We start from the raw sequence: 14081 nt of genomic DNA, 5'->3' as shown, positions 1-14081 counted from the left end.
TTGCAGTGTTCTGCTCAACGCTTTCTGTTGACAGAAAATACAGTATCAAAGTGGCTATTAATAGCTAATTAGGGGATGACCTTTTGGCAGAGAATAATCCAATGAGGACAGCAGTGTAACCAGGCACAAACAATCACCCATTCATTTGGAGTCCATTGTCATTGAGTACCCACTGTGTGCTAAGTGCCCTGAGTTTTTTCATGTTTATTTCTACTTTAGTTTCAAAAGTTTGTCTTAAAGTTTTAGAGAAAATTCTTCATTGGTTAACAAGGAGACAAATAGAAATTCCCTCTGAATTGTAGTTAGTGTCTGCATACTTTCCCTCTTCAATTTTCATTATATTTTCTAGTTAATTTAGCAGAAAAAAGTGTTTCTACAGAATTCTGAGGAAATTATTTTTACTATTTTGTGCCAAGTCATGAGTAGAAAAAAGAGGACCTGGAAGAGGAAACTTTTTACTCTATTGGTTTTATTGCGTGGAAACGCCTCAAATATTGTGAAAATTAGTTCTTGCTGATATTATACATTTTAAGAGAAATCCTATTGGTATATTTTTTAACTAAAGCATTGATGTCACCTGAGGTCACCTCTCCCAAAACAACAGATTTGGCATTGATTCCTCTGCCTCCCGTTCCTCATCAGAACTCTGCAGAAGTATCTGAACCCACTCTTCCAAATATCCCTTCTCTATACCTTTTCCTGCTTCCTTTTCCAAAAGCATAAAGAATAATGTTCAAGAATAAAGTCGGCAAGTAGCCTCAATTATATAGGACTTGAAAAAATGATTGCGTCAGAAAGAAAATAATTTTTCTTAGCCTTAGCAATGTCAAAAGGGACATTGGCCTGTGTAGTTAAAGAATGCTGAGCTTTTCCTTCCTAACCTGGAAATATTCTTACCCTCTTGATTTCCAAAAGCTGAGAAACAATTCTCAGAGCTCCGAAGACCCTCTTACTTTTGCTAATAGATTATCACAATATGCTCCATTTTAAAGAACAAACTGCCAAGCACGAAAAACAAAACAAAACAAAAAGACAAACAAAACAAAAAAAGCCACCAGAGTGAAACATTCAAACAGTGTTAAAGATGTGCCTGTAACAACCGAAGAGATGGAAATCAAGGTGAAAGATTGGACGCAGATGGTTCTGCATGCATGATGACAAACAAGAACCCTTTTCAAGAGATACACACATCCTAAGAGTAGGGAAGAAAACTTTACTCATTTCCCTAGCCATATAATTTTATTAAAATGAGCTCTTCGATATATACTCCACAGGAAAAATCCAATGTGCTAGAAAATAGAGTGGAAGTGTACTGAACTCATTACATTTTGCATTTCAAAGGATAGCAATAAACACTATCACTTTGTAATACTGGTTTAGTGATTTTCCATTGCCATCCAAAAGCCAGTCAGTTTTAAAAGTGTTTCTTCAAAATAAAATAGCTCCTGTGAAAATTATTGAAGGGGTAAATGTATTCAGTGATAAACTTATTTTTATAGAATAGTGATAATTCTATTCTGGTTTTATTAGATTATTTCAATATATTGGTATTATACTTTGGTATGTCTTTGAAATATCTTCTTCAATAGCAAACAATGATTAGCTTTTTGTTATCCATTTTAGTGATCTATAAAAGTATCTTTTGATCTTTTCAAGCTTTATTGAAGTATAATTGACATGTAAAAGTTGTACATATTTATGGTATACAAAGTGATTTTTTTCATATTTGTATACATTATGAAATGATTACAATATTCAAGCTAATTTAACACACTCATCACTCACATAGTTAACTCTGTGTGTGTGTGTGTGTGTGTTTATGTGGGGAGAACATTTAAGGTCTAATCTCTTAGCAACTTCTAAGTATATAATACATTTACTATTGTTACCATACTGTAGAATAGAGCTCCAGAATTTATTCATTCTGCATATCTGAAACTTTTTACCTTTAAACCAATATCCATCTTTTCTTTATTTTAATTTTTTAAATTGTTAATTTTTGTATTTGTATAAAAAAGTATTCATCTAGGCCTCTTTCAATACCCTTTAGAGCTATAGGAGGCCTAAAGTATGTGATCTTAAATGAAAAAATTTATTTTAGACTCCAATTTTCCAATGTAATAATTTTTTCAAGGCATCTGGCTGGGAATTGCTCAACTTATTTCTTGTCAGCAGTGGGAAATCTAAAACTCAAATGCTGAGAGAGCACCTTAAATGCTTCTCTTTGACCAAAGCTTATGTTTCCCTGTTGGGTTCGACAAATAGAAATGGTAAACTGAGAGAAAGACTCCATAAAAGATGGAGTGAGCACAAATGTTAATTCCAGGTTTTTTGAAAGAAAAGATTATTATATTATCATTCTTAAGATAAATGGGTCAGTCGTTCCATTAGGACACTTATTCTATGCTCTTGAATACATTCTAAACTCAGAGAGACACCCATAAGACAAGTCACAAATGCTTTAGAATTGTGTTCTGTAAAAAAGCGGGAGGAGACGAACTGTCCACCTAAAGAAACAAGGGAGAAAAAAAGTTTTTCATCTTCTGAATCAGAAGCAAATCTGTGGTTGAATTAAACAGGCAAGACTTTTTCTTTATATAAAATGATGGTAACAGGAAAGATTATGCAATCAGATAACTGCCCTTAGAATATTATTTCTACATAGAATATAAATAGAATTAAGAAAAAAAAAGTACCTGATACTATTTAATGTCTATCAAATAATTCAGTTTAACTGGAAAAAGGCAAAAATAGTACAGTCCATCAAAATTTAGAAGTACCTGGAGGCTAATTATAATGCATTTCAGCTGCCCAATTTCATGTACATATTACATCAGCCAATTTTCCAGCCAAAGCCTGAACAGTTTCCATTTTTAATCTACAAATAGATTGTCATTTCAACTTTCATTTTATGTGACAGAAAATGAAGCTTTAATTTATCTAGTATGGAATGGAAAAATGCTGTTTCAGTGGGTTTGTATCAAAGAAATTGTTCATATGGCTTGGGTGATAGTCCAGTAGCAACTAATACAGAAATAAAGGTGGGTTTTTTTTTCTCCTTACCAATGGGGAAAATTCAAGGATATCAAATTTTTTTCTTCTTCTTTTACCTGATTCTGCTTTTACCTGAAATTTTTGCTAAAGAATTCTGTCCTATGTATATGAAGTAATTTTCTCCATTTTACTATACAACTAAATAATAGTAATTCCTCACTGACCACATTTTGTAAACACATGTCCAAGGTGAAATCAGCAAGTTATCATTCAACTTAACAATACATGTTAACTGGTGAATCTTGTTCATAAGCATCCAAAATCAAGCCAAAGTTAGTAAACTAAGACTGAAGCCCAGCATGGTAGGTAAAACAGAACATTCTACCATGTGTAAGGATTCCCCAAGACCTCTCCAGCCAAAGATACAAAATGGTTTATTAATTTGTGATGTAAATTCATTGCAAATATCCATGTTAGCATTATCCAGACCTTGATTGGAGGCACATGAATTAATGGTTAATTCAGCTTGCATTTGATGCTGCTGGAAAACACTCCACAAAAGTGTAGAAATGAAAATCATTTTCGAGAAAATAGGAGGCCTGAGCTGATTCAAATATCTCTGGTTCCCAAGTGACAGATCACAAGAAGGTTTACTTAGGAAGAGCAAACTGGTGCAATTCACTAAGCAGGTATGAGGATAATTTAGAAAAATGAAACTTTCGTTTTTTTCACATTTACTAGGCTAATCTTTATAACTATTATGTTTTGAGGAATAAAATGATATGTTCAAAAAGTAGAGAATGTTGATCAAATTTTCAGAGGGCTTTAGAGAAGGGAAGAAGTTAAAAACAAAGAAAATTGGAAAGAAGATGGCAAGATGGAATTTTAGAGGTTTAAGGAGGTCTGTGCCAATGACACTGAAGAGAAAAGGCTTTTTGTAAGAAGATTTGATCCGAATATTTACAACCAATTAGATTAGTGATTGAGTAGGGATATACAAGTAACAGTAAGTAATCAATGATGTCTGTAATGTTGGAGATCGGAAAGGTCCATGGCTTTCTCAGCAATGATGAAATCACTGAGCAAGTGTGAAATCTTAAAGAAAATAAGCAATCTGCATTTGCTAGATTCAACTTTAATTGACAAAACATGAACTCCTCAATAACAATTTCGCATAACACTGATTTTTAAACTCTATCTGCTTTTACCTTGGGCTGCTTTCTGGCTTCTCATATTTTAAATTATGATTTAAAAAAATAAAGGGAAAAAATCTTTGTTGAATTTCTATGCCATATGGGAATTTTTAAAAACAGTTGGAAGTTTCTCTGGCATGGCCTTCCATCGGTTCATTTGGCCTTCTATAAATAACCAAGTAAGCACACTGAGGCGTAGAGTGGATGGAGACACTGTCTTCACCATTTCTCCAGAAAATGATATACCTTCTGGCGTTTTGTTGGTTAGTTATTAGCAGAAACCAGATGGAGAATTATACTGTCTCCCCAGGACACTAATAGAAACAAGTTCTGGGATTTGTCTCTTTGAGTTTTTCCTGCTGAAATATGTTCTAACACAACCTTCAGGACTGAAATTATCCTGACATTTCAGTATAAAACAGCCAATATGCACTACCAGCTTTAATGTAATTAGGTAAAACCTACCTTAATTACTGTATTTAAGCTTTATATTCTTTGCATTATGCTACACAACCAAACTGCCTGGAATGCCAAGGCCATTACATGCATCAGACTAAGGTTGAAATTCAGCCTGCCAGCCTTTTACTACAAGGAGGCTTCCAATTTTGACCTTTGCAATGCATGAGCAGCTAAAACAGATAATAGGGCATGTAGATTAAAAATAAACAAATAGCAAGTTGCATAGTGGTGATATTTTAAAATTGGGACACATTTTCCCTTGTCTTTTTCATTTCCCTAAAGAAAGAGTGTACCAGATTCTCAGAATACAAATAACTTGAACATATAAACAAGTTTGTAAGTTATCATAGTTTTCGTCTGAGACATAAACATTATTACCATTGTAAATATTCTTTTAATTTTGAAATGAATAATTTACTTTACTAAGATAATCTAATAACCCTTGAATTTAAAAAATTGAGTACCCAAGTAGCTACATTTTCAATAGGAAAAAGCTAGTTTATATATATAGCTAGGTAGTGTAATATGCATACCGTCTCACATTTAATTGTCTGCTATAAAATAACTTTTCTTTGATATATTTTGGCAAAGAAAACAGTACAAATGATCCTGAAGACTCTGCAGATACCATAAGACATTATCAGAGTTCCAAGAGACACTTTGAAGAGAAAAAAAGCAGATCCTCATCTTTCATCTCCTCCATTGATGATGAACAAAAGCCGCTCTTCTCAGGAATAGTAGACTCTTCTCCAGGAATAGGGAAAGCATCTGGGCTCGATTTTGAAGAAACAGTGCCCACCTCAGGAAGAATGCACATAGATAAAAGAAGTCACTCTTGCAAAGGTAATCCAGAGTTAGACATCAGGTGGTCTCTCTTCAGTGCTAATCACAAAATGGTGACTTTTTACAAATTAAGAACTGTACTGACACATGTTAATCTAATTGTTCTCAACTTCATGAAATGTTCGCGAAGCGTTCAGATTTCAGATCATCCATGAAGTGTTTGCACTATTCTAAAACAAGTGGTAATTATTCCCAAACACTTATAGAGTGAGAGGTTTTCGTGACCAACCAGACTTAATAAAATGTCGGGTAGAAAACTGTGGGAAAGTCTGTTGTAGTAATTTCAATGGGGAGAGAGGACCCATGAATATTTTAAGACAGTTAATCAATTGGTTCTTTATATGTATCTTATGTACCCATTTCTCACCCCCAACCCTATAATATTATAGTATGAAGGGCCAATGCAATCACACTATAATACATGCCAATCAAAATTTAATTTTACAGAGAATATGAGAAAGAGTGGAGAAATGCCCTGAAATAAAGTATGGTCTTTATTTTATTTTTATTTTTATTTCCAAAAGGAATACCCAAATGTACAGATTTTGTTGTAGAAAATGTGCACGAGTTGGGTAATAATGCTTGATTAGTAGATGCAGATTTCATGCTAAAAAATGAGAAATTCAGGAAAATTTAAAGAACTATTACATGGAAGAACAACTATTTTAGCATACCAGAGGCTAGATCTATAGGTCTAGCTAGTAAGTGGTACCAGTAACGACTGCTTGGGTTCCAAGTGCAGCTCTGCCACTTGCTCCCTTTATGTCTTTGGGTAAATGATTTGACCAAACCCACCAAGACTCAGTTTATGCATCTTTAAAAGAGGAATAATATTATCTAACCAACGAGGTTATGGTTATTAAGATAACATGTAAATTACTTTTTCTGAAATAAAATCCCCAACTGTTAGTATTTTCTCACAGGTTTTATTTTTCAAGTTTTAATAATTTAATATATCCCTGGATGTATAAAAATGTAAAGATTAGGAAGGCATAATAAAGCATCAAAAGAATATTAACAGAAAAGGAAAAATAGGATGTTCTAGGCCTGGTAGGATAGCAAAATTAGTACATTAGTACAGAGTAAGTAAATATTACTTATCATCATTATTCCCAAGTACCATATTCAGCTACAAAGGTTTTATTAAATCTAGGATACTTAGGCTTTATATTTTTCCAGAGTTGCTTTTCCTGTCTTGTAGCACCCACTTTTTTCATGACCCCACATTGAAGTAAGCTAAGAATATATGCAAGTGTTCTCTGGACAATCTAAAATCTTGATGAAGTGAGTGGAAATAGTACCTCATTTATCACAATGGAAGAATGGAATATTAAATGTGATTACCAAATGTCCCATTTTAGTTATTTATGAAAATGGATTCTGGGAAGTGCTAAAAATAGAAACAGGTTGTATCATGGAAGTCACAAGTTCTGAAGAGCTTGCTGAACCATCTCTGCTATCTCCAAAGGTCAACATAATGTGAACCTAATAAGAATGCTTGTTGTTTTCCCCTTGAGTTTTAGAGTCTCAAGTGGCGAATTATTAAATATATAATTTGGGGATTTTCTGACTTTATAATGACTCTCACTGACAATGAATTCTCATGCCCTTCTTCATATACTTTTCTTTGCTACGCCTTCCAATTATTTTTAATTAGCTTTTCCATAAACACAAAAAATTATATTCTAACAAATTTAGTATCTATATATTCTAATTTTTAAAAATTTACAGGGCAATCTCTATTCAAATAATAATTATCTTGAAAATGTACAGCTAAATATGCATGTCAATTGAATTGATATCATATAGCTTCAATCAGTGTAACACATGGTTAGCCTGGCTAATTAATATCTTTAACCAATGGGGAATTCTAAAACTTCATTCACTGCAAATTTCATTCCTTAATGATTTTTAAGATGATATATTGCATTAATATGCAATGTGTGACTTGTTGCTGCTGCAGTTCAAACTACTAAACCCCCACAAATTTTAGTTTCACCATCAATAGGACATGTCACTCACTCATATTCCTAACATTTGTGATGCTGAATCCAACAGAGGAGCACATTTAGGCCAAACTAAAATGAAAAGAGAACAAATTAAATGGACTCTGTTCCTACTAAGATTGAGGTCAAAAGTTGACTCTAGGAAAATTGTCTACTCAGAGCAAAGTGAAAGTTTACTTTCTGTTCATACATTTCCAGAAATGTGTCTTGCAACTATAGCAACATTTTCCAAGGCAACCAAGTGCAGATTCTTTCCAAGCTATATTTAGAAAGTGTCTACAAGGATGTTCATTTGATTACGACCACTAACCAGGATTTCCCCTTTGAACTCCTCATTTTTTATACTGCTGTTTAAACAAGCTAATTATGTATCTTCAGATTTTAATTAAAAAGTAAATTATAATCAAGGAAGCCTCTAAGAGTATACACTTCGTTCATTTCTGATAAGGTAATTATTTTTTCTTGAGCCCTGAAGAAAAAATATAATCCTCCATAATTTATTGCATGTGATTCACCATTGTCATTTAAAAACCAATTTATTATATATAATTTGGAAAGAAGAGAGCTGTTAAACATAGGCAGAAATTCTGTAAGCTTTCTTGGCACAAAATGTGTGAGCATAACATGTAACTTCAGTCTTATCAGTTCTTGCCTTCTCGAAAGAAAGATTTCTACATTAACTGGCTAGCAGCAGACTAGACAGAGAAAAGCATCAGCATCACCAGACCATTTATATAGGTATTCCGGAAGTTTGCTTAGCATTACTGGCCCAATCTTTAAATCCCAGTTTGCTAAGATATTATTGTTTTGCATTTTAAACAGGTTCAAACGTCTGTGAATAACAAATCATACTTCTCAGTGAAAATCTGCAGATAAGTGACTTAAAACTCCAGCAGTATCTTTTTAGGTTCACTTATATTTTGCCATGTTTCATAAAATATTAAAAGAAATTATAAACTGCCTCTTTAAATAAGAACAAAAGCCGTAATCAGGAAGAGTCTTTCTGGAATTCATAGCAAGCCCTCTGAGGTCTGTTAGCCATTTCTGCAGAAGAAGGAACTCTGATCCTATATTTTTCTAATGCTGACTTTGGATATGCTAATTCCTTTGTCAAGCCTCACCCTACTGAGGCAGAAATTATAGACACCTCATTTGAGAAATTTCTTTATGTTCAATGTTAAAAGATAATGAGTGAGAGGAAAACCATGAAGAAAGAATACAGACATGTCTGTCTTCTACTTGGAGAAAGAGGATGCATTTAAACTACCCTTGGAGAAACTGCAGGAAAGGAAGGAACTTTGAGGAGTCCAATGGTGTTGTTTCCTATTTCTAAAATCATAGCTAATCCTGCCCAATTCAGTTACTTTCTATCCAATTTTTTAAAATAGCCAAGAATTCCATAACTTTACATAATAACTCTTCTCAGTGTTTAATCATAGATACTTGTCAAGTTTTTTTTAAGTCTTTCTATCAAACCAAAATCACTTTCTGTAATTCAAATCTCTTTCTCTGTGAAAATGAACACCAGTTTTAGATAGTCCTTCCTTCCTACTAGCCCTCCCAGTGAAGAAAAATGTTTCTCCTTTATCTCCAAAGTCAACTCCCAGCTCCAGTTGTATTTTTTCATAAGTTTCATTTTCCAACCTGTTAATTATTCTTAGAGGTTAAGAGAGCAGCAAAAACATCTAAAATATAGACAAAAATGAGGGGGAAAGGACATATTTTCCCCCAAATATTGACAGCTTAAAATATAGATTGTAGGAGAAAAAGGAAATTAAAAGAAGTTCAGAAAAATGAATCTGTATATGAAAAGGGATCACAACCCTGCTAGACTGAATTCTTCAAGTTCGGGGTCTATGGTCTCCTTTGTCTTTAGTTCCTCCGTATTTACCAAGGTGTCTGGTCCATAATAGACACTGAGAACATTTTAAATAGTAGACCTGAACTAATAGTTTATCTTAAAGTAGAGTAACATAGCAATATTTAAAATAAAGAGCCACAAGAAAAACATACTAGAAAGCAATATAATTATGGTAAAGGGCAGCACAGAAGGGGCTACAAGAAAGCATTAAAACATGAAACAGTAGCTGGGGACTAGGGGACTTGTAAAATTCTTCCCATTTTTCATGGCTTATGGCTCCTTGGCTCTATTTGAATTGGGTTGGCCAAAGAGAATCACCCTGAAGATCAGCACTTCTCTAAGGCTCTCTTCTTGGGCCCACTCTAAGTCATAACGTATGCAAGTTATCCTGTGGGAAAGAGCCCTAAAAATCTTAAACCCTAGATAATGCGGTGCAAACAACATATGCTGCTTCCTTCTAGATATAAAAGCACAGACTCATTGTTCTCTAATCAGTTTTGGTTCTGCTGTTCTTATCTTCTCCTAGCACAAACAGAAAGAAAACAAAATCCTAAACACTCAGGACCTGCTACATGTTTTTGTTCACATGGAAACGGATATGGGAGGTAGGGCCAGCAGGGTGAAAGTGGGACTCTGCTACCAACTGGCCGTGGCCCCTGGACACATCACTGAATACTTTTGGTTCTCTGTCTCTCAGGTTATACTCCGATCCTTTCCAGCTTGTCTTGTGGATATCTATGAATTATTGACGCAAAGGGGCACCTAAGAGTGTTGACATCCATCTTGCTATTTTCCACAGATATCACTGACATGCGAAGCTGGGAACGAGAAAATGCACATCCCCAGCCTGAAGACTCCAGTCCATCTGCACTTCAGCGAGCTGCCTGGGGTATCTCTGAAACCGAAAGCGACCTCACCTACGGGGAAGTGGAACAAAGATTAGATCTGCTCCAGGAGCAACTTAACAGGTATAAGCAGTGATGGGCAAAAGGAGAACATAACCCAACCCCTTACATGGGTCCAGTTTTACTCCTTACAAATGGAAAATTCTCCTTGCCATGATCTCATAATTTCCTTATACATTTACTTATTTAAAATAAGACTAGAAGTTGACAGAATAATTTGTGTTGAAAGGAGCATTTATTTAGAACACTTCATACTTCTGGCAGCAAAAATCCTATTTTTTTCTTTGTCATCCAGTTAGTATTTCACCAGCACTGGCTATCTTAGAAAACCCCCTTCTCTCCCCTCAAAATAATTCCTAATTAATTTGTTAACTGACACCCTTCCTCTTTTAATCCTCCTTTTACACTTTTTCGGATGTTCCCGATAGCATAGCTATGTGTTAGGGCATTTAAAAAATACTGACAAAGTGATTTAAACTTTTAGTTATTCAGTCAGCTTATCAAAAAATGTAATTGACTTGAAATTCTCACAGAGTTTCTTGTTTCCTTCACCGTTGATCTAAACCACTTAACATGATGAATAAATCTTAGTTTAGGGAGGAGGTAATCCCTTCCCCTAAGTCTGCGTGGTTTCTTTAAAATTAAAGTGGTCAAAAAGATTGAAAAGAATCTATGAGTGGGTATGACACAGATGCTTTAGTTGTGTTTCACTTGGGAATTTGTCTTGATCCAATAGTAGCCTTTTAGTTCACCACCAGGCAAGATATTCCAGTGGTCCCAGACAGAAAACTGCACTGACTAAATTAAAATGCTCTAATCACAAGATTTATTAAATCAATTTAAAACACAAGTGAGAGAAGAGGGAAACCATATGGGGCAATTAACACATTTCGAACACGCACAAGCATGGTAAAAGGATTGCACTACCCCAATTCTGACTTACACAATGTTCATGCATTTGCCATAATGTAACGAAGTTACCAAGACCAGAGTGGAGGTTTGCAGGTCTGCAGACAAAAATAATCTCCTGTGCCAGTGGCACACACTTGCTCCATAACAAGGATACAAGGTATAGTATACCTGACCTCAGCTGTGACTTTCCAACTAGCCAGCTCAACAGCCATGTGTTTCATTAGCCTTTCGTAGGTACAGCACACATGGAGCCAAGATGCGATGATACTGATATCACCAATGGGTGACCACATTTTGGGATGACGGTTGTTTACCTAGAGGTGACCTGAGAATAATTTGTTCTTTCCATCTCTATGTATAAGCAACACTCTTGTTTGTTACATATTTCTATCGTTGATATGCCTGGCAGGTTACTAGCATGCTATTTAATGTATCTTATGAATTCTGCCATGTTTAACAAGCTGCTTGCTTACTCATCTGTACTTAACACATCTATGAGTTTTGCCTATATCACAAACTACTGATTTATTCACTATTTATGCTTAAATTTTTGTGTGCATTTTGTCCATGCCGTTTATTGTTGTTGAACACACAAGTGAATGACTGAATGACAGAAGCAGCAGTTATTTATTCAGCAAAATGCTATCACTGTACTTGCAATTGGTGAGCATAGGAAAAGGTCTTAAGTCTGCTACTTAATGAGTTACAGGATTACTGGGTCAAATCATTTAAATTTCCCTCCATTTCCTACTTTGACTCATACCTACCCATGATGCTACTGTAAGGACTAAAGTAATGTAAATGGGAACTACATATGCTATACAAAATGGAAGTTGTTCTACTTGCAGATAGGTAAAAATTGATTAACAAGGAACTTCACTTCTATTACTGGTGTTCATTTGAGTATATTCTCCTACTCTACGTATAATTCCTGACTTGGACCTTTCATCAGAACTAAAATTGAGATTTTTAGCATCACCTGGTTGCTCTGTCATGGGTGCCAATCATTGCTGCTAGGATAAGTCAATGATTGCTTAAAACATTTGTTCTAAGGGCACATTTATGATCCATTTGGCGTGCAATCACCCAATAGTAATAAAAATTGTTGTTGTTATTTTATTACATTAGTATGTTATTATTACTATATAAAACTTTTCCACAAAATGCAATTAAATCTCTTTTGATGTGTTCCCAATATCGGTATGTGTTTCCTGAAGATGTTTTGAATTGCTGCTGTGAAAGTAGTCAAAATCAAAATGGAGTTGTTAATGTTAGAAAAACCCTGAAAAATAGAGCTGGGGAGGGCCAGGAAGAGAGGGATGTATGCCTGATAACAAAAACTATCACAAAGACTCTATAAGATCCACAACCTTGCACAGAAGCCACTGTAACCTAACACAAAACATACTTCTGCAAGGACATCTGACCAGCAACTGCCTGTCCAATCTCGAACCAGCGTCACCCTTGTTATTGATCTTTGTAGCCAAGGATAATCATTTCAAAACAATTATGTAGTCCTCCTCATCTTTCCTTTAAAAATCTCCACCTTTACCTCTCAGAATGAGTGCATACTTTACTATGGCATGAATATTCCCATTGTGTTGCGTATTCCCATATAAATATCTTTTCCTTTTAGAGTGCCTCTATTTATTATTTAGGATGACACTACCACCAATACTATATCTCCTTTGACATTTGTTTCTAATTATCTGTGATATTTTCACACTTTTTTTTTTTTTGCTCGTTTGGGATTTAAAATCCAAAATATTACATTTTTACTCCACTGCGGTTTTTAACAACCTTTCACCTCCACTTTATTCTAGAAGTTACATGTATACAAAAAAATTTGAAGGGGGAAGCTCAACTCAGACTTCTACTTTGCAGAGCGAGAATCCCAGGACACGTTCTATAGTGGAGTCTACCCTGTTTAGCTTCGGCATTTGTTCAAATGTAGAACTGTGAATTCCTACACCATTTGTCTCATTCAAATACACATATTAAGTACAAAACACAATAAAAACAAATAAAATGGTCTATCTTGAATGGTCCTTGCTACCACTTCTTTTCTGCTTTAATGACTGATTAACCTATAGATAGGGTTAAAGGTTTACATAAGAAATGTTATTCTGTATTTATATATTATGCCTGCAGATACATCTATTTAGGTAAATCATTAAGACTTGATTCTAGACCAGTGCTTCTCACATTTCAATGTGTATTTGAATCACTTGGGGGTCTTATTAAAATGCAGACTCCAAGTTAATAGGTCTAGTTGACAGAGATTCCACATTCTAAAAAGCTCCCAGTAATGTCCAGTGTTGCTGATATAAAGACCACACCTTGGCCAGGCGCGGTGGCTCACACCTGTAATCCCAGCACTTTGAAAGGCCGAGGCAGGTAGATCACAAGGTCAGGAGTTCGAGACCAGCCTGGCCAAGATGGTGAACCCCCATCTCTACTGAAATACAAAAATTAGCTGGGAGTGGTGGCGGGCGCCTGTAATGCCAGCTACTCAGGAGGCTGAGGCAGAGAATTGCTTGAACCCGGGAGAAAGAGGTTGCAGCGAGCCGAGATCATGCTACTGCACTCCAGCCTGGGCGACAGAGCAAGACTCCATCTAAAAAAAAAAAAAAAACAAACCACACTTTGAGTAGGGAAGCCCTAGAACATGTAAAAATTGTTAGTAATGATTCCTTCCATTGCACACAGAGCAATTTATCTGCATGCCTCTAGTATGGCATTGAGCACTTGCTTTGCCTAGTGTTGTGGTTATTTATGCACCTCCTTCATTTGTCTTTCCTAAGTGGTTAGTTCCTGTTAGCACTGTGAAATCAGATTTCATATTTATTCATTATCATGTTGTTCCCTCACCTTCCTACCTAACATTGTGCCTGCTACATTGTGGGTC

At 35.1% G+C, this 14081-nt stretch overlaps 1 protein-coding gene across 5 annotated transcripts in view; it reads left to right on the top strand.

Annotated features, from left to right (window-relative positions):
- Window positions 1-14081, top strand: part of KCNH7 (potassium voltage-gated channel subfamily H member 7) — a 467361-nt gene that overhangs the window by 448591 nt on the left and 4689 nt on the right. For all 5 annotated transcript variants that reach the window (XM_017005220.3, XM_017005219.3, NM_033272.4 and 2 more), the window contains 2 exons: window positions 5238-5489; window positions 10156-10324. In XM_017005220.3, coding sequence (XP_016860709.1) covers window positions 5238-5489; window positions 10156-10324 — 421 coding nt within the window. The remainder of the gene's footprint in view (window positions 1-5237; window positions 5490-10155; window positions 10325-14081) is intronic.

The sequence above is a fragment of the Homo sapiens genome, chromosome 2, assembly GCF_000001405.40.
Source record: "Homo sapiens chromosome 2, GRCh38.p14 Primary Assembly".
NCBI classification, from domain to species: Eukaryota; Metazoa; Chordata; class Mammalia; order Primates; family Hominidae; genus Homo; species Homo sapiens.
This window is presented reverse-complemented; position numbering and strand designations above follow the sequence as displayed.